General features: G+C 39.5%; 2 long non-coding RNA genes across 2 annotated transcripts in view; both read right to left on the reverse strand.

Annotated features, from left to right (window-relative positions):
- LOC107984782 (uncharacterized) overlaps positions 1-22,477 on the reverse strand; it is a 208,325-nt gene that overhangs the window by 178,164 nt on the left and 7,684 nt on the right. The gene's annotated exons all lie outside the window — the stretch shown is intronic.
- On the reverse strand, positions 2,067-4,687 carry LOC107984783 (uncharacterized). The gene is made up of 3 exons (XR_001751571.1): positions 4,397-4,687; positions 3,179-3,256; positions 2,067-2,136 (listed from the first exon to the last, which is right to left on the reverse strand). It is a non-coding gene; the product is annotated as an uncharacterized LOC107984783 (long non-coding RNA).

Consider the following 22,477-nt stretch of genomic DNA (forward strand, 5'->3'; position numbering starts at 1 on the left):
GAATGGAAAAAGTGCAAATGCAACACTCAGAAGCCAGAGTCTTGCTAGTGTCAGGGGAATAACAAGCTCTTGAGAGTAAGAAAGCAACTTACTGTTCATTATGCTTCCAATTGCTACAGTTGGCATATTATATTAAAGACAGTTAAGAGTTGGAGAGAAGAAAGCTGCTTTGCAGGCATAAAGAACTTCACAGAAGCAGAGGTTTTAGCATGCTTCATGCTGATTGACGGGATTCTTCTCTTTAAGTGAGAGGCTGTCAGGCACCATATTGTTAAGAGCTTATCAAATTTGTACACAGGATATTTTTTATTGCATCATTCCCTCAGATCCTTGCAGTATTTATGTAAAATCAAATGGAGAGTCATGCTAAATACTGGACACTATGTGACTAGATCTCCATGTCTCATCTTTTTAGAGACCAATGACCATATAATTTGCACTACAGAAATGGTGCAAAACAAAACACGGCCCTTTCTTGGGTTTTAATGCTTGTCTAGGTGCCCTCACTCTCTATTTAAAGAAGACAAATACAAAGATGCACACCAGTGACAGTAGACACATTAAATATTTGTTCATGGGTAACTATGAAGAAATCATAAAAAAGGGAGGTATAGGGGCCCATGAACCAGGGTTCTAGCATCAGCTCAGCCACTGACTGCCCTGTACCTCGAGTAATTACTTAACCTCTCAGTTCTGTTTGCTCACTTGCAAAACGAGGTGGCATGCTGAATGATCTCCAAGGCACCACCCAATCTGAATCATCCAAACAACGCTAAGAAGATCACTTGCCCCAGACCCGCAACTTTCTCCTTCCCTGTTCTCTCTGTGTAGCCATCTCAGCTCCTTCTCCACTCCCCATGGTGCTAGAGTCTCCTCTTGAGCCCTGAACTCACTCCTTGGTGTCAATCCTGTGTCTTTTTTTTTCCTTGGAGACACAGGAAATCCCCACTATCATTGAACCTCAAGAGGCTTAAAAATGGATTTCAATCTGTTTAAGTTGTTTACTCAAGATGAGACAAATCCATTGTCCTTACAGAGCTTAGAATCTCTCTAGCCTGAAGTTTGCCATCCTTACAGCCAAGTGGCTGCAATCCTTAACTGCCCAGCTTCCGTGTGCCAGGAATAGTGAGAGATTTAGAGAGATCAGGCAGCCTTTGCCCAAAGAGGGCAGGCCAGGCAGAATGTGGCAATGCCATATCCTCCAATTCTGCCTCTGGTTCTGTCAGTGGAACCCACCGTGGAACAGAGGGAAGACCACAGACCTTGGATTCAGACAGGGCTGAGTTTGAAACCTGCTTAGGGCTGAGTTTGAAACCTGCTTTCAGCACTTCATCACTTCTTTAATTCCCAAGGACTGATGGGGCATTACCTCTGTACCAGGACATTTTGAAGATACACAGATGCATAAGACACTCCTGGCTTTCAAGAAGCTCTGCAGACAGCTGTGTGACACTGAGAAGAATCATCGACCTCTCTGAGGCAGAACTTCTCATATTTTAATTAGGATACTATCCCCCTCTTAGGGCTGCTGTGAGCTAAACAGGATAAACGGAATACCAGGTTTCTCTTCTGTCCTTTCTCTCCGCTACCAGCCCACACTGATTTCCTGCTGTCTTCCCAGGGACTTCGGGCCTGACTACGCTCTGGCATTGCCACCTTATGCCTGGTGGGCAGAGGCTGCCTGACCTCTCTGGATCTCTCACCATTCCTGGCACCCAGAAGCTGTGCAGTTAAGGATTGCAGCCATTGTGCTGTAAGGATGGCAAACTACAGGCTCGAGAGATTCTAAGCACCCCGGACAACAAATTTGTCTTTTCCTTTTGTCCTCAGTGCTAAACACCTAGCCCAACCCATAGTAGGTACTCAATGAATAATAATTTTCATCCTAACTCAGAGAGGAGCCTGGATGCTCATCGTTCTTCATTTAAATACAGGAGCCCTCATCTCCCTCGTGCATGTGTCAAGGAAAATGAACAACGTGATTTAGACGAACAACAGGGAAGCCAACGCAATTCCCCCAACTTCCCATCACAATTACTAACAGACTCATTCCCTCATTTATCCCTCTCTTATATTTTCATTGTTCCGTAAAGAATGAAATGTGCTGATGAAAACTCACAAAGGTGCTGAAGCCAACTGAAAAGGCAAAGAGGGGAAAAAAAGATTTTTAGGAAAGAATGAAGTACAATAGTAGGAATAACAAACCAAGACACCAGGAAAATCTCTGCCAGGTGGCCACAAACGGTTTTCTATTTCTGTCCTTGTCAAATGCCTCGTTGGATGAGGCCACACACAAATACTTCCGCTCTGACAAGGGACACTTTGTGCGCCGAGTCCTTCATTAGTTCTGCTATATCAGGTGAGTTCATGTTCCTCTGGGCAGTTTTATTAGCACTTGAAATCCCTGAAACCCTTAAACCAAGTCACCATCACACTGATCATAATTAGCGTTGCTCAAAGTACACATTCTGAAAACTCATATTAAAAATGCCCTGATCATTTCCAACTAAAGAGTTTTTAGCCCAAGGAACTTGGCACATCTGCTTTAGAAGTCAGTCATCTATGAGAGGCTTTTCTCTCCTGTATAATCAGTAGGCACAGAGCAATAGCCCAGCAGGCTTTCCTTTATCTTTGGGAAAAAAGAGTCAAAATTACATTTATGAAATAATCCTTAAAATAACTTAGAGAACATCTGGTTCTAGTGAGTGGCCCAGGTCAAGAGGACAGTCAGTAATTAGTTAACCATAGGAAACAGATGGATTTTCAAGTCCATTTGTCAAGAATTATTTGTGTTAGGTGTCCCTGCCTCCAGGTTTCCCTGTCTCAACTGGAAATATGACAGTGGCAGGGGAGAAATCAATGTGAACAATACAGGACCAGGTGGTCATGGTGGAAGACATGTACATGAGCTGGGCCTCAAAGGCTGAGCAGAAACTGGATAGAGTGAGGAGAAGGGAAAGCATTAGAGGGGCTAGAATGTAAAGAAGGGCTTGGAGTAACCCTGATTCACCCAACTGACCTTCTACCAGGTACAAGATGGGCAATCCTAGAGACAAAGGGACAGAGGCAGATTATCCATGATGCCAATAAAATTTAAGATTATAAAATTTTTATAAAATTTGCAAAAGATAGTTCGACTTCAGTTGGTTTACTGCTATTGCTTCCCAATCCAATTTACCTGCCATGATCTTTCCCCCTCAGAGTTAAAGGCTACTGGAGGAATCTTGGGCACTTGGAGGATGTAGCTTCTGGGAAGCTGAGTTATGGAAACACGTCTGAGTTTAGTGAAGTGTTTTTAAGTGGAATGTGGTCACTCCCAAGCATAATTAAATGATCACTGGCCATGGGCACTTCCAGGAACAGTCCTAATATCATCAATTCAAGGAGTATCGAGAGTTAGTCCATGAACCAAAAAAGTGAAATGCCCTGAAATCCTATAGTTCACACAGGAAAGAAGCTTGATTGATGTTTTCCCAAACTTGATGAAAATCATAACAATTTACATGAATTCATGGTGAGAGAGCTCACAAATCATCGTCTCATTAGGACCAAGTCACTGGATTTTTGTTTTGTCCTTTTGGGGAGGTCAGGGTTCTCTGCTGTTTTTTCTTAAGGGTATGCATCTATGTCTTTGCATTGAAGGATCAGTTATGTATTCCAGTTTTCCCTATCCACCTTGTTGGATTTTTATTGGATATATTCACATAGTGAATCTTTTTTTTTTTTTTTTTTTGAGACGGAGTCTCGCTCTGTCGCCCAGGCTGGAGTGCAGTGGCGGGATCTCGGCTCACTGCAAGCTCCGCCTCCCGGGTTCACGCCATTCTCCTGCCTCAGCCTCCCAAGTAGCTGGGACTACAGGCGCCCGCCACTACGCCCGGCTAATTTTTTGTATTTTTAGTAGAGACGGGGTTTCACCATGTTAGCCGGGATGGTCTCGATCTCCTGACCTCGTGATCCGCCCGCCTCGGCCTCCCAAAGTGCTGGGATTACAGGCGTGAGCCACCGCGCCCGGCCCACATAGTGAATCTTTACCGCTAAGTCACCGCCTCCTTTTTGGCTCTAGGTGGTGCCTTAAACCCAGGTTCGCCTTGGCTCCAGTAAATGATTAGAGCACTTCCTGTCCTGAATTGGGGAGGTCCCACAGGCATTATCTCAGCAGTGTGGAAGGCTGGCTTAGGGGTTCGTGCCCAGGGGACCTGCAGAATGTACCTCCTATGGCATGGTGCTGCTAAGCAGCCACTCTGATGAGGCATCTCATTTGGCCAAGTTACACAGCAGAGTTTCCAGGGCTGGGGATAGTCATCCCACCTTCTCCCTTTGTCTCTGGCTGTCCTCGGGGACAGTTCTTTCTCCCTTCAGACAATCACGATGTTTGTGGGGTAAGGGCAAGACAGACCTCCTGCAAGTACACCCAAGATGGTGAAGAAGCTGGTTGACCACCTCAATCCCACTTTTTCCGGTGTAGAAACCAGGAGTTGGGGGGAGATTTTCCACATGCTTGGTGCTGAGTAGAATGTTGGGGAGGAATGTTGAAGTTGTGGAAGTCCAATTATCCTATTGTTTGCTCAAAGTTTTTTATTTCTCTGGGGCCCCAGGAACTATCTCATTCTTATAGTGAGTCTGGGTTGTTGCTGGTGAAAATCCCAAAGCTGTATATTTGTTTTGAGTTTTCTGTGAAGGAGAGCGAAGCCAGCTTGCTCTATGCTGCCATTTTGGGCTGGTCCTTTAAAAATTTATGTGATGAGTTGTGAAGTTGAATGAAACTATTCTAAATCACAAATAATGAAAATAATATTCAATCAACTATGATAAAGAGCAAATTATCCTTCTGCTTTCTCTGCAATATTGTAAGATCACTATCACAGGAAAAAGTAATCGAAGAATATGAAACCAAAAAAATATAAAGGAAAGAGGTTTATCAGTTGATTTATTGATTAAAATAATGAACAATTTCCCCAAAGTTTGTGATGTCTGTAGTATTTCCCAGCTTTTAAATGTGTAAGTTGTTACGATTTCTTCTCTCATCCTAAATAAATATTTTTAGGCCTAATTTTGTATTCTTTTTCTTAAAGTGGACCCCTCTCCTCTTAAGTAATCAAGGCCTCTGAATTCTGCAACTTCTATCCATGTTTTCCTCTCTTGCTATTTTCTCTAGGGCATGTTTTCATTTGCCAAAATTTTTAAAATAAATGTAATCACCTTCTATATTAGTAGCAAATTATATGCAACCAATATATGCTGTTCTAACACTTGTCCCATTATTAACACCCGTGAAGTGAAACACCTTTTCCTCAACCTGTCCTCACAGAGGACCTCTGTCACAGATCTGGCATGTATCCTTAAATGACATCCTGCCCAGTTTTTGTGGAGGCTCTCCTGAGAAAGGACATAAGGACTGCCCATTTGTCTGCCTTCTATAGTCACAACTTAACTTCCTCATGAACATGTTGCTGTTGGTTCAAACATCTTCATTCCATAGCATGCCCCCCAAAAAGTAAAACAAAGAGATAATCACACATTATCTCTCTGTTTAATTTTTTTTGGGGGGGCATGTAATAGTAATTACATTTTGGCAAGCATTTTCTTTGTAGAAGAATCTATGATAGTGTCTCTGAAAATGAAAAAAGAACATTTATTGTATACCTACAATGTGTTGCACCTTGTGTAAATACTACATTTATTTCTCATACCAACCTTGTGCAATAGGTATCATTATCCCTGAGAGATTAATTAACTTGCCCAAGATCACACAGCTAGCTAGAAGTAATTGGATTTACCTGACCTGAAAGCCATGCTGGTGTTAGCACTTTCATCGACTTTCCTCTCTACCCCTGTCTTCCTTACCTCTCTATTTGGGTTTCTCTACCTACAAGTGGTTGAACATAAAATAGTGTCACTTTGGGTAATGTTCCCTAAAAGTTGGGGTCAGCAGATTTTTAATTTTCTTTCTCATTGGCCCACCCTTAGTGAAGTCAAGTCTTTGAATTGACCTTCAGTTGTAAGTATGGAGGAAAACTTAATTTTAAATCAGAATTTTGCCAAGAACAAGCCTACCTTTTCAAGGCTCACCCAACATTCAGTGTTGACAAGCCACCCTTTAAAGGGAGCCGGAATGGCAGGGTTGAGAGATTCTAAACCAGGCACCACAAAGGCTCCTGTTAAAAAGGAAGAACTGAATCCCCTGCCTCCCGCTGCAGATGCCATTCGCTCCAGGGACTGGATGTCAGAACAAGCCAAAGCAGGTTTCATTCATCCTTGTCCAAACCCCAGGGAGCCAGGGCACTTTATTCAAGGCAGAATATTCAAAGTCTTCACCATTTGCCTCCTCGGCCATCTCCCTCCAGCCAGGTGGCCAGCAGATTCTGATTGATCCCAACAATGTTTCTTCTCATATCTGAATTTCACAAGCATGTGAGAAGTCTCAGGTGTGGGTTTTTCCCCTAGTGCTTCTAATAAACCAGGTCCTCATGCTTGAAATAAAGCGTGCATCAAGAGACTCTCCCTGGCTAGCCATGCAGCTTCTCGGCAGGTGATTCCACTCTTTGGGGGCTTTCAGAACTTCAGAATCTATAATCAGACGCTTGGAATGACAGCAAATGACGTGACCCCAGAGGAAATTTGCTTCCCCTTTTGTGGGATGTTAGCTGCTTTAGAATTCTAAGAGGGACACTCTTCTGGCTAAAGGAATCTTCGGGGGAATAAGAACTGAGGAAGATGGGGCCAAGAGATTTCATTATTGCTGGCAAGGAGTGCAGGTGGGGGGTCCTGCCTGGGAGGACCCCTGCTGTCCTGGGTGCCACACTTCTAGAGCTTTAACAACCACAGCAGACCCATTGTGAAGGAAAGCCAGATGATCAAGAGTAGGCAGCCTCTGTTGTGTTAGAAAAGGTATTAAATGACACAGCTTCCTCACTCTGAAAAGATCAGGACTCAGAAACAATCCAATCAAAGTCTCTGCAGATAATGATTAAGAGGAGTGAGAAGTTGTACACGGCCTTGTTCAGCTAACCCTACACATGGGGACTAGGGAGCAGCCTCCAAATTGGAAGGAAGCCATTTGGGAAAAATTGAAAGGAAATGTAACTTTACACAGCAGGTAGGAAACTTATGGGACTTACTAGCCCTTGAGGTGGTACAGGCCATTTATTAATAGAATCAAAGCATGTTTAGAAGAATGTGTGAAATAAGAGATCCACTGTGGACCAGTCAGGGAAGTCAGGATATTTGACTAGGGTTTGCCATGATCTTTTGTAGTTGACCTAATAGATGGGCTATTATCAAACACAGCACAGGTGGATGATATTCACAAACATGACACATATTCCCATGGGTATCTCCGGATTTTGGCCTCTGCCACAGACAAAATATGAGCTGTACCTCTACCCTTTATTACCTAATGAAGCAAGGATACTGAAATGAGTGAGAATTAAAGTAACATAGTGTGGCTATAACCTGAAATTTCTTAGCGAACAGATGAACTCCAAATTCACCTCAAGGGTTCTCTGGGCTTTTGTCCTGCATATATATTCTGTCTAACTCACGCAGCCATGGCTGTGAAGCACACCAGGATCTCAATGATAAGACTTCAGGCACAGGGGAGTTAATTGGGCCTGGGCAGAGATTGTAATGCTCTAGGAGGGAAGAAATCATGACCATGGAATTGATTACTGTTAAAATGACACATGCTCAAAATATTTAATTAACTAATTATCCAAAATAGTAATTATCCCTCACTTGCCAAGCCCACTGAACCTAAGGGATGCACAAGCAGTGGCAATCATAATGTCCAAGAGGACCTGAAAATTTGAGGGTGTGATTTGAGCTGAACTTGGTCTACGGGGAGACTGCTTAAATAGGCAGAGTCCCATGTCTGCTAGCAATTTCCACTACAAACAGATTCTTCCAAATAGGCACAGAATCATTTCAGTAGCCAGGCTTTCAAGAGCAGGATCCCTTGAAGAGGCTAAAATGAACAAGGCAGGGACTTGGATACCAACCAGATCATCAGACCACCAATTTGATCTGTGGATGTGATGATGAGCTGAAAAACCAACCAGAACTAAAAACTGTTTTTAAATGGGAAGATTCTTGGGTATCTAGCTCTAAAGGCTCAAAGTGAATAAGGTTGTACTGATGAACTCCCCAAGGCAGATGACATACCAGGTCTGCAGATGATTCCAGACTGACTCAACCACCCCAGTAATTTTCTGAGATACTTCAAGGCATGGATCTCTCTGTACTCTCTATGACCATGTACAAGTCTCTTAAACTTTCTGTACCTTGGTTTTCTAATGTTTAGAATGGAAATCATAAATAGTGCCCCACAATGTTATTCTAAAGATTCCATAATATATCTATGAGGACTCTGGTATAGCCCCTCGCATATCATGGGAACTTAATATATGGTGACTATTATTATTTAATGCTTCCCAACTAAGCTAGACCAGGACGCAGGGCTGAGACCTTGCCCTGGAAACTCATACAACCATGAAATCAGCTCCACAGAACTTAACTGGGTTACTTGCTGACGTCTCTGATGGCTGTTTTGTCATTGAGTACACCCAAGTCAAAAACATAATGTGGATCTTGAGACAGACGGTTGTTAGGTCCTTCTAGAACAGTGAAAATTTAGCAGGTTGTTATGGGTTGAATTGTGTTCTCCAAAAATTCATATGTTGAAATCTTAACCCCCAGTACATCAGAATGTTACCCTATTTGGAAATAGGGTCATTGCAGTTGTAATTAAGAAGGGCAATTTTAGTTTTAAGGTGGCAGAGAACATGGCTGAATTGTGTTCTACTGTTTGTGGAAGGTAGAATTTGTAAGTCATAAACTTGGCTATTTAGCTGAGGAGATTTATAAGCAAAATATTGAAGGTGTGGCCTGGTTTCTCCTTGCTACTTATAGTAAAATGTGAGAGGAGAAAGATAAATTGAAATAGGAGCTGCTAAGCAAAAAGAAACCAGAATTTGAAGATCAGGAAAATTATCAACTTATATATATTACAAAAAATTTAAAAAGTATGTTCTGGAGAAAGCACCACGGGTGTGGCTGAACAGGTGTTTGCTATAGAAACTAGGTGGAGCCAATCAACCATCTCAACAAAAATGTTGCCAACTTGGATGGAAGGGGACAGAGACAGGAAAAAATGAAGGAAAGATGCCAGACTTCTGGGCTTCTAAAGGCAGCAAATGGGTTTATAGAGATGTCTGGTTACAGATATGTGTTATCTTTCAAGAAGAAGGAAGAATGACCCCAAGGATGGGGCCACCTCCTTGGTTCCAGAAGGAGAAGCCACCTCCTCCATTCTAAATGGCAGAACTGTTACCTAGGGTGGAGGGGGTGAGGTCGCCGCCCTGGCAGGCCTAGAGGATGGAACATTCAACCAAAGAGGATAATCCTCAAGCCTTAAAATCAAATGGAATTTACCCTGCTAGGTTTCAGGCTCACTTAGAACCATAACCCTTATTTTTTCTTCTGATTTCTCCCTTTTGGAATGGAATATCTATCCTATACTTGTCCCACCATTGTATTTTGGAAGCAAATAACTTGTATCACAGGTTCAAAGATACGGAGGAATTTTGCCCCAGGGATGAATCATGTGGTGAGTACCACCCAGACCTAATTTAGATAGTATGTGAATGAGATTTTGGACTTAGACTTGATGCTGGAATGAGATTACTGTATTTTGCATGTGAGAAGGAAATGAATTTAGGGGTGTCAGAAGGCATACCATTATGGGTTAAATTGTCCTCCCCATCCCCCTCAAAATCTACATGTTGAAGTATTAACTCTCAAAACCTCAGAATGTGACCTTATTTGGAAATTGAGTCATTACAGATATGGTTAGTTAAGAAGAGGCCATACTGGAGCAGGGTGGACCCTGCCCAAGACCATGGGAACCCACCTCTTGCATCAGCGTGACCTGGATGTGAGACCTGGAGTCAAAGATCATTTTGAAGCTTTAAAATTTGACTGCCCCGCTGGATTTCAGACATGCATGGGGCCTGTCACCCCTTTGTTTTGGCCAATTTCTCCCATTTGGATTGGCTGTATTTACCCAATACCCCCATTGTAACTAGGAAGTAACTAGCCTGCTTTTGATTTTACAGGCTCATAGGCAGAAGAAACTTGCCTTGTCTCAGATCAGACTTTGGACTGTGGACTTTTGCGTTAATGCTGAAAAGAGTTAAGACTTTGGGAGACTGACTGTTGGGATGGCATGATTGGTTTTGAAATGTGAGGACATGAGATTTGGAGGGGCCAGGGGCAGAATAATATGATTTGGCTGTGTACCCATCTAAATCTCAGCTTGAATTGTATGTCCCAGAATTCCCACGTGTTGTGGGAGACACCCAAGGTGAGGTAATTGAATCTTGGGGGCCAGTCTTTCCCATGCTATTCTTATGATAGTGAATAAGTCTCATAAGATCTGATGGGTTTATCAGGGGTTTCCACTTTTGCTTCTTCCTCATTTTCTCCTGCCACTGCCATGTAAGAAGTGCCTTTTGCCTCCTGCCATGATTCTGAGGCCTCCCCAGCCATGAGGAATTGTAAGTCCAATTAAACCTCTTTTGCTTCCCCGTTTCAGGTGTGCCTTTATCAGCTGCGTGAAAACAGACTCATACAGACCCCTAATCCAATTTTACTGGCGTCCTTATAAAAAGAGAAAATTTGGATGTAGACATGCACACAGAGAGATTACCAGGTAAAAACTGGAGTTATGCTGCTACAAGCCATGGAACTACTAGAAGGTGGGAGAAAAGACTGGAATGGATCTGTCCCTAGAAACTTCAGAGGGAAGATGGCCCTTCCAACACCTTGATCTCGAACTTCTAGCCTCTAAAACTGTGAGACAATACATTTCTAATGTTTAAGCCAGTCAATTCTCAGTTTTCAGTACTTTGTTAAAGCAGCCCTAGCAAATGAATACACAGGTTCATATGAAACATCTAAACACAAATAATTTAAAATATACTTGAAAGAAAGAAAATTAAACTCCTCACTTAAGAGCAATTGAATGCTGTCTACATGGAATGGCTCAGTCTTTCTGAAATTATTACTGACTTGTTAAAACTGAATGATTACATTACATAGCAGATTAAGACGAGAAATAACCCATTTTGAAAAACTCCGAACTAGAATACAAACTTGTCTACACATTCATACCAAATTCTGTGAACCAATGAGCGAGGGAACTATGGAAAATCTGAGAGCTTTTGTATAAAGCAATGATATAGAGGATGTAGACATAGACACACATATATACTACATGCATGAACACACACACACACACGGTTGTCCATTGGTATCCTCAGAGGACTGGTTCTAAGACCCTTCACAGATACCAAAACCCATGAATTCCCAAGTCCCTCATATAAAATAGAATAGTATTTGCATATAACCTATACTTATCCTCCCATATACTCTAAATCATCTCTAGATTACTTCTAGCACCTAATACAATGTAAATGGCAGGTAAATAGTTGTTATACTGTATAATTTCTATTTGTATTATGTTTTATTATTATATTGTTATTTTTATCATTTTTCTCAAAAATTTTACATTTCTTTTTATTTGGTTGAATCTGCAGATGTGGAACCCACAGATATGGACATGTACATCTATGTATACATACATATATACTCATACATTATCTTAAAGCTATACTGTCTTCTCAATGTTAAAGAAGTTTATCACTCTACATATTGATGAGTGTTTACCTTTCTCAGCCTCCAGTCCTTGTCTCTTCTAGCATTGCTCTGTTTTGAAGCTAAGCTGGCTAGCAGGGACTGCTCCCAGAAGCACCGGTTATCAAAGGGCCCATTCCTTCCTGTTGATTCTGGAGACCAACAGCCACTTAGAACATTCAGCCTTTACAATTCAGACGCGGAGAAACAAGTTCAGAAAATAGTTGCACTTTAGATCAAATGATTTTGAAGGGAAAAAAATGGGAGACCAAGAGCAACTAAGAGAGTTAGAGGAACTGATTCTTTCCTCACAAATGAAGTCAAGTTTATTCATTCCTGCCCTTTTTTTAAGGACAATTAATGGGAATTTCTAAAACTCGGAATGTTGAAATCGTTAGTGGCTCATCACTTGAAGCAAGAATACAGCTGTTATGATTAATGGCTGAATTTTAAATATTTCAGTGGGATCCAGGAAATCTCCACACTGCCGTGCACTCCACTGCTTGTCATATGTGCCTCCCCAGGATGCTACAGAGAATGTGATGACATCTCAACAGGTTCTTTCCTCACTAAAATATTATGTAATTCCAAAATAAAATCCTAACTAAAACTCACATTCACTCATTCATCAGCCAGCATGAAGCGGGAGAGTGTAGTAGAAAGAGTATTTATGAACCTGGAAGGGAAAAAAAACATGAATCTTGATCTCTGCTTTGTCATTTTATGCAAATGTTCAAATACTCTGAGTCTTGATGGTCTCATCTGCAAAACAGAACCGGGAATGAGAAAGCCTTCCTTTCCTGATGTACAGAGAGTTTATGCAAACTATTAAGTGTTATTCAAATGTAAGGTATTAGTACCTGCTACTTTCAAGGACCATGGACATAGATGAAACAGAATAGGGAGTAAGGAGTGCTAAGGTTTTAAGAATATACAAGACCTGGTCCTGCCCTCAGGGAGATTTCAGGCTTGTGGACACATAAGCTCATTTTATAGATAATCATAATTTCAGGTAGAAAATGTAAATACCATAGAGGTGGGGTTGCTTCGGCCTTGGGGGCTGGTAAAGAATTAACAAAGGCTCCAGGTAAGAAGTAATATTTGTAATAAAAGCAGCTGAAACCTGGAGGTCATGCTTTCTGAATTTTGCCAAGTTTGGGGAGTCAGAAGGGAAACCAAAGCCACTGAGGCAATGTGAAACCTTCCAATTCCCTTGTTGATGCAGGAACCCAGTGTTCTTGTGAAGCCGCCTGAAAGCATGGCAAAAATAGAACAGGTCAAGTGTGTCTCCATATCAAACCATTTCCATCTCTCCAGCATTGCTAAAAATGAAAGTCAGGGTGACATCTGGATGGGGATGATACGCCCTTGTTCTTGTCTATCAAATGCTCTGACTCCCAAAACCAAAATGAAGAAAATGAGACTGGCATGGTGAATAAGTCTGTTGTAATTTGTCTAAAAAAAGAATGGAAAAATATAAAGAAATAGTTAACTAGATGGACACAGTGGGGGACCATGCCTGGCCTTCTCCCTTGGAGCATGAGAGTCCTGCAGGACCTCCAGCCCAGTACACCCTCACACCTTGCCAGGTTAATCTCCTTCAAATGCAGTTCTGATCACATCTCCAATATGCTCAAGGACTTAGGCATGGCTCCCTGGTGCCTACAAAATTAAGCTCACATTTTTAAAATTAAAATCTGCCACAACAGGGTCCTAACCAATCTTTGCAACATTATCTTCTTTATTCATCTTCATTATCTCTTCTCTTTTTTTCCAGCCTAACTGACAACATGCCCTCCCCTGAATCTGCTCTGAATGCTCCTGCCCGCGGCTCAGGTTTTTGTTCTCTGGTTCTTAAGGCCTCTCTGTCCCACAACTACCTTCTGAAATTGTAACCATTGTACAAAGTCCAATTCAAATTTCATCCCAATCTGATTAAACAATCATTTGCTGAGCCCCTTCCATGAGCTTTTTCTATTGGGTCACTGAATGAAAAGATGAGTAATACCTCTCCTGCCTTCAAGTTGCCTCCTAAGAAGAAGGAAGATAGACACATAAACAATTAACCATAAGACATTGTGCTGGTATGTATAGTGCACTGTGTAGGCATGGATAGACTTCGAAAAATTAATTATTATTTCTGCTAGTGAGAAGGATCATGGTAAGGCTCAGAAGAGGTAGCACTTCAGCTGTAAGGTACAACAGTGGATTTCCAGGTAAAGACAAGAGGACGGTGTAAGCCAAGGCACAGAGGCAAGGACAAAACATAGTCAAGGACAAGGACAAGGTTCCAGATTGTTGGATCCTGGAGTATGTGGAGAAGGAATGAGACCTGACCATAGAAAGGAATTCTGGGACAAAGAATGGTCAGTTTTCCAAGGCATGAGTTCAGACTTTAGCCCATGGATGTGAGGGTATTTTCAAGGCTGATTTTAAGAGTGTTGTCATATTATATGGTTGATGCCACCTGATAACTCTGGTAGTAGTATTGAGGGCAGACTGAGGACAAGGACAGTAGTTAGGAAGCTGTTAATAGTCCACACAAGACATAATCAGGGCTTTCAGCACAATAGAGGCAGTATAAATTAAAGAGGGGGGTGTATATAAGAAACTCTCTTCTATTAGGACTCTCCTACTCTACCCCTCCTCCTGGTGCAGATATTATTTCTTCCTGCTATTTCATTTAAGCCACAACTCATATTTTTATGTGTATTAGCATTTTTGACTCATATCATATTGAATTTTGTTTTATCCTCACAATTTAAAATCAAAAGTTCCTGAGTCTGATTTATAGTAGGTTCTCAAGAAATGAATGCAGAAGGGATGTGCATAAAATTGTCTCAGGATGGTTCTGTTGCCAGAAATTAAATCCCACTTAATATAACTCAAAGAAAGGGGGGTTTATTACTGAGATATAGGGAGAGCTCACAGAAACTGGGGGCAGGAAATAAAATAGAATCAGGCCCAAAGAAGGACATGATACTTCTTGGTTCAGGGACAATTATGAACCAACTCCCAGGCTCTGAGTCTGTCAGTTCAAATTCTTAAAAGAGAAGATCTATCTATCCCAGAAAGAGTCAACTGTGGCCAGAAAGAAATGGGGCCCCATGTTACAAACATGGCAAAAAGAGTCCACCCTTTGGCTAGGGTTGATTGTTTCTCACCTGTAGAAAACATCTTTGCTAGAGATAGTAATACTTTTCAAAATACTTCACAAATGTTGGTCTCAACTATGCACAAACCTCAAATCCTGTGAAATAGGGATGGATTTTTTTTTTAATTTCTCTTTTACCAGCAAGTAAAGAGGCTCAGAGAAGCTAAGTGATTTGCTCAGTATCACACAGAAACTCATTGGTAGAGCAAAATACCTAAATCCAGGAATCTACCTTCCTCAAACCCAAGACTATTTTGATCACTTTCAAAACATTCCTTTCCATTCATTCACTGACCAATATTTGCTAAGTATATATATATGTATATATATACACATATATATGTATTGTGTATATATATATATATATATATAAGTATATATAAGTGTATATATATATAATACATATATATGTGTATACACACACACACACATATATATATATGGGCTAACTCTTGTGCTTGAGACTAGAGAGGTGAATTCTTAAAAATCATTTTACCCATGCTGATCACTGAAGAGACAAGGTGATATCTTTCAGTTTACCACTCAAGAAATGTGACAAATGGAAAATGGTTTATTAAAGTACCGAAACTTCTCCTGAAAGTTTCTATAATTAGTGCAGGTACTTAGTGATATTCTAAAGTTATTTTATTCGGCAATAATATTTAAAATTAATATATTCCTCTGGTATCTATAGTAACCGGTCTTTCGGCATAGTATTAAGGTTGGGGATTTATTTATATTTAGGCTTCACCCAAGAGGAAGATTTTTGTATAATGTATTGCTACATTTAGAGAGCATAAAACCTTTAGGCCACAATGTGTAGTTAATATTCAGAATTAAGTCAGTTTATTATGCATCAACTGGTAGGTCAAATTCAGCTTTGTGTGCTATAATTTATAATACAGGTTTTTGCCTGGAGCAACATGGAAGCCCTGAAGCAGTGTTGTGAATTATTACAACTAAATCGGGCACCACCTGCCAAAATATACGCCATTGCTTGTATTTCTATTGCACGAAGACTATAAACATGATTTCCAAGAGCTCTGTGCTGCAAGGACATCTAAATAAAATATCAGTTTCATGACCGGTGTCAGCATTTAGAAACTTATTTCCTGTACTTGCAGCTGCTGCAGGTCTGGGTTTCTGTGGCAATTCACATCTTAGCCACTTACAAAATGGCAGTTTATAGGTTTTATGACTACACCATGTAAACATATTTCTCTCTTTTAATGGGTGCACAAACTACACTGCAGTATAAGCATTATTAAAACTATTCGGAAAGCGACCTTAAATATGGCATTTAATAAGCCAAGATATTTTAATAAAAGATTTAATGCATACTTAAACTATATTACAGATTTCTTTCCCTGAATACCATTTGTGTTTTTGATAACTGTTTACCTAGTTCCTTGGCTAGGATTTTGAAACTAAAACATGAACAAGCTCTTTTTGGACTGTAGCTTTCAATTGCCTTAATTCCAGGGGATATTTTATGGTCTGCACTAAGTCTAGCAAATGCAGTCACCTCTTGATTATGTATGAGTGAGTTTCCTATTTTATGGATCTGTAAAAATTACAGAAAATCATTTAAATCTAAACATTCCAAAGTAGGAGAAGGTTAAGTAAACTCTGGGACATACAGTCTATGTATATGGCCATTTACATGATGTTTACAAAGAGCATTTAACCAATTTTTTAAAATTGTTGAATTCTGGCCTAGCGTTTCCCGGTGAAGGTCAAAGTCCAAAATTAATGCCAGAAAAACAAGTGAAGGAAGCTTACCTACTGTAAAATTACATCACACATTCCAGGCACTGGGGAGATGAAATAGGTTTCAATAATACATGTCTATCTCTTCTCTCTAAAAGGGGTGCCCAGGAGTCCGTGCAATTGGCATTACCGGAAAAACATCAGCCAAGAAGGAAAAGACAATGGGGAACAGATTTTGCCCTAACCTTAACCCTAATTCTAAAAAATTTAGACATTTCTAATAGTCATAACTGACCAAAAGTCTTCAAATAGAACAGTGAGGGCAAAGCCCCTCGAGTGGGAATCAGTTGGCATGTACTAGGGACACGGAGAAGGTCTTTATTTGTAAGGAGAAAAGTCCTGACTCCAACTTTTCATAAACTAACAATTTCAGTCCAAGACACTAAATTTTTAGTAACTTTTAGTAGAGTACTTTTTAAGATTCTACTAAGTAAGCCTTAGTTCTATACAGAAACAGAAATGAAAAAAAGGGAAAATAAAATCTTTCTACAGACACAACATTTGTCAATAAGAACCAAAGAAAAGGAATGGAATTTAAAATCAAATCAGGAAGTTGAACACAAATCAAGCTTTAAGAACCACTAGATAAAACCAGGATCTTTTCCTTTTCTTCTCAGTTAGCATAGCAGGGGTTGGCTGTAGCTGGGAGCCTATGTCATCAATGCTGCTCTGCTGCTCTCCCTAAGATATCTAGGGATTCCAGGGAAGACACAATCTGCGATGTCAGCATCAGCTGTCTCCTGTGATGCAGCAGACAGAAGGCAGACAGGCAGAGACAGCCATCCAAATAACACTGGTCCCCTGGGTGGCTCAACTGGATGACATTTAGGGTCTTTTCAACACTGCAATTCTACACAACTATGCCTCCTGACTAAAAGGACAGGATGTACCACTTACTCATCAAACATGTACAAGAACATCCTCCACCATGGCACACTGCTTCCAAAATGGCAGGAAGCAACCTCAAAGCAGCGATTGTAGTTAATATGTGTTTTATGTCCTTTTGGCTTGAGTATGAAGCACACAGGTGTGGGGAGAGATTACCCCTGCCAGCCACAGGGGCCCATCCTGGCCCCAGAGGTGCAGTTGCTGCTTGTCACCTGCAATAGGTGCTCTAAGCATGTCTTTGAAGGAGAAATTTGGCTCATGCCACGAATGTATTTGCTTGCCTGACTAAAGAAAACAGGTGTGTAACCACCTCATATAAGGGAAATTGCTGCTCCATGGGCCATGTGATGAGCAAGCTGGAGCAGGTGTGCAGCCTGGCAGGCAGACCCCATACATGCTCCCAGAAAGATACTGGGCAACAACTGCAGCATGGTAACTGGCTGTTCCTTTGTGCTTGCCTCACAAGCCATGAGGCTGAGAACATGCCAAAATCCTTGCTACTCCCACATGAGACAGAACTGCACGCAGCAGCCAGTAGGTTTGGGATCAAAGGCAGATAGATGATCTTTAGGGCAAGTAATCACCAACTTGAGGGTCTCCACGCTTCAGGAACCCCCCAAAGTTCCAATTCATACAGCTTATATATAGAAAAAACTTGATAGAGCTTTTTCCAAATTTTACAACCATTCTAGAAATTTATGATATTGCCAATAACTATGTATGAAAATGAAACTAACTTTTCCAAACCACAAAAAATAAAAATTACATTTTGATCAAATATGGTATAGAAAAGACTGAACTACCTTTCTATTTTCTCTTTAGAAAATACTATAAACTTGTCATATGAAGAAGATGTCAACTACAGAGATGTGTCAGGCAGTTAATTATTAAAGTATATTGTTATTTTTCTGGATTTTGTATAATGTTTGTGGTATTTGTCAGCTTTCTGAATCCATAATTTGTTGTGATTTCTTTCCTTGTTCTAAATAAATATTCACTATTTTACCTAATTTTGTATGTGGTTGATTTATTACTTTTCTTAAAGAGGGGACTTCCAAAGTGTATAGGCTTCAGATTCTTCAAAACCTTGATCTGCCCCGGTTTGAAAGTTAACAGCAGGAATGAAAATTACATGGTAAAAATAAGGCAGCAAGAAAAAGAAAAGATTTAAAAGAATCAAATTTCAAATCTAGAAATAAAAATATACAGTCAGTGAAAAAAATCCAATGGGTGAGTTGAACAGAAAACTAGACAAAACCATTGAGAAATTAAGTGAATTATAAGAATAGATATAAGGAAACTGCTCAGAATGCAACACAAAGAGAAAATATGAAAAAGGGTTAAATACGTGGAAGATATAATGTCCAAATGTACATTAGGAATTCCAGAACACAGGAAAAGAAAAAATAGAAAAGAGTTAATATTCAAAGAGATAATACTTAAGAATTTTCCAGAATTTAAGAAAGAAGTCCTCATATGGCAGGAACATAAAAATTCTTAGACAAATAAATTAAAAGAAACCCACCTCTACACACATAGCAATAAAACAATAGAGTATTATAAACAAAGCCATTCAGAAACAGAGAAATTAACAAGCAGTAACATTAGGCTAAGACTTTCTGCCACAACAAAGGATTCCAGACAATAGAGTATGTTATCTAACTAAAACAACATTCAAGAGTGAGCACAAAACAATGGTGTTTTCAGAAAAAGAGAGAGTTTACTACACAAATTCTTTTTGAAAGATCTGCTAAAAGTGTATTTCAAGAAGAAAGACAGTGAACCTCAAATGATAAAAAGGCTTCAAAAGTAACACTAGGCAAAGATATTGGCAAATATCTTTTGAATATTTCTAAAATATCCAAATGAGATTTTTCTTACTTAGATTTCTTTTGGAAACATCTAAATAAGCATTGAGTACTAATCATAATAACAACGACAAGAGTGGGAAAAAGCCAGGAGCAGTGGTGAGCATCTGCAATCCCAGCTACTGAGGAGGTTGAAGTGAGGATCCCTTGAGCCCAGGAATTCAAGTCCAACCTGGGCAACATAGTGAGACCCTCATCTCTTATGGGAAGAAATCAAAGAGGAACTTAAACACTGGAGAAAAATAAAATGAATAGTGTCAGTGCAGAGATCAAAGCTTAAGTTCTTATATTGTTCTGGAAGAGAGTGAAGGTAATGAATGAGGGTTAGAGTTTTGCTAAATCAAAAAATGTGTGCTCATACAGAAATCAATAGCCTTCACATACATAATAACCAGTTATAGAAAATAATGGTTAAGAAATTTACAATAGCAAAAGATTAAATATATAGGAAAAAACCCAGCAAGAAATGGGCAAAATCTCTATAAACAAAACTTTAAACCTTTTGGAAGACACAAAAGTAAACTTAAACAAATAGAAAGAATCCATTCTTAAGTAAGATGACTCAACATCACAAAAATTATCAGTTCTCCTTGTTAATTTATAAATTTAATGTTAACTCAAGAAAATTCCAACAAGCATTTTAGTGAGTTACACCAGTTGATACTAAAATTCATATGGGGAAAATACGTAAGAATAGCCAGGAAAGCACTTTAAAAAACATCAACAGAGGCCAGGCGTGGTGGTTCATGCCTGTAATCCCAGCACTTTAGGAGGCCGAGGCAGGGTGGATTGCATGAGGTCAGGAGTTTGAGACCGGCCTGATCAATATGGTGAAACCCCGTCTCGACTAAAATTACAAAAATTAGCCAGGTGTGGTGGCATGCACCTGTAGTCCCAGCTACTCAGGAGGCTGGAGGCAGGAGAATCACTTGAACCCAGGAGGTGGAGGTTGCAGTGAGCCAAGATCGCGCCACTGCACTCCAACCTGGGCAACAGAACGAGATTCAGTCTCAAAAAATTAACAACAACAACAAAAACAACAGAAAAATGAAAACAATAAGGGGGTACTAACTCTGTCAGACAGACATTAAACTATAATGTAAAACCCATATAATTAAAGCAGTATGGTATTTGCTCATGCATAGACAAATAGACCAGCCAAATATAATAGAAAGCTCAGGAATGGATCCAAGTACACATGGAATATTAGTGTATTAAAAATATGACATCTAAAGTAACTGGGTCAAAGATGGACTTTTGCTTTTTGGGTTTCTTTATTTTTTATTTTTTGTTTTGTTTCTTCCTTTAAAGATAGACTTTTGAATACATGATGCTTAGAAAACTGGATAGCCATTTGGAATGAAACAAAACAAGATCCATGCCTCATTCAAGAAATAAAAATGTTTCATAAAATAAATAAAAAACAAGTTCCAAATAAATATAAATTTTAAAATAGAACCATACAAGTACTAATATATATATATATATATATATGTTTATATATGGTCACTTTTCCCATGCTTAGGTTAAACAGAAAGTCACCCATATATATGGTATACATTAAAAAGTATTCTAATTATGACTCAAAATCCAGAGGTAACAAAAGAATAGATGGATAAATGTTTCTATAGAATTTTTAAATAAGAATAAACAAACATTTATTATTAAAGTTTTAACTATTTATGGGAAAGACAAAACATAAGCAAAGTTAAAAGACAACTGACAGAGAAAATACTTTCAGCAGATACTACGGACAGGGCTAATATCACTAACATATAAAGAACTTTTAAAAATTGAGGGACAAGGTACCAAAACTGCAATACAAAAATGTGAAAAAGATGAACAGACAATGTACCAAAAGAAAGACATAAATATGACCCTCAAACATAAAAAAGATATTAAACTCACTCATAAGTAGAGAAATGCAAATTAAAATGACAATCCATTTCTTATCAGATTAGTGAAAATCAAAAAGACTACTTCTACTGACAAAACGGTGGTGAAAAAGAAAACAATTGCTCTCAAATACTGGTGTGAAAATGGAAATCACTACAATCCTTTTGGAGTTCACAATATCTGATAGATTACACGTGCACTTACCTTTTAATGTAGTAATTCTACTCTTAAGAATTTACCCTGAAGATACACCTCCATCAATACAAAAGTACACATGCATGAGGTTATTCATTGCCACATTCTTTGTAATTGCAAAATCCTGGAAACATTTAAATACCCACACACAGAAGAGTAATTGAATGAACTCTGGTACATTCACACTATGGAATTCTGTGCAGCCATAGGAAGAAAGAAGAAGATCTCTATGAACTGACATGGAACAGTGTCCTAGTTTTGTCTACTAAGAGAATCTAGAAGCAATGCAAACCTAGCAACCATATCTTGTTTTAAAATTTGGTCTCCACTAATAGGAACCAGAACTCCTGAGAGAAATGGCAGACTTTAGGGCTAGAGCAGGAACAGTACAAGGTGAGCCTGAAACATCTCATGTTGACAAAAAGTAAAGAAACGCTCAAAAACTGATGGGGGCATATCCACAGCAGCCAACTTGAAAATGTTCCCAATGGCCAAATCTGAAACATTTTAAGCAGTAACATAAATCATGATTATAATGGATTATGGCCCATAGAAAAAACAAGTGAGTACGTAATAAGAATAAAAAAGTTGAATAAGGAAATGCAAAAAAGGAAAAACTCTTCCTTATAGTATACTTTAGTTAATAAAAACAAAAGAAGCGATGGTGATAGAAACATTACCATTTTGCAAACACTGTCATAAGTGTTGCAGGCAAGAATCATCAATGGATGCTAACAGTGACAGATAAGAGTATGAAGATGAAAATTAGGATGCTTTCCTGTTTCAAGGCATCTTCCTACAAGATATATCTCAATTGGAAAGGAGAAATGGTAACATTACAGTGGAAAAACCTGACAGACATCACCATAACCAAGTGACCAAAGTTAACATCACCAGTAATGAGAAATTGGTATCGTGTAGTACTAAGAACCCATAGTGTTTGCGGTATTCATGCCCAAAATGCATAACTTGAATTTAATCACAACGAAACATCGGATGAATCCAAAGTGAAGAT

The sequence above is a fragment of the Homo sapiens genome, chromosome 15 (genome assembly GCF_000001405.40).
Source record: "Homo sapiens chromosome 15, GRCh38.p14 Primary Assembly".
Classification (NCBI taxonomy): Eukaryota; Metazoa; Chordata; class Mammalia; order Primates; family Hominidae; genus Homo; species Homo sapiens.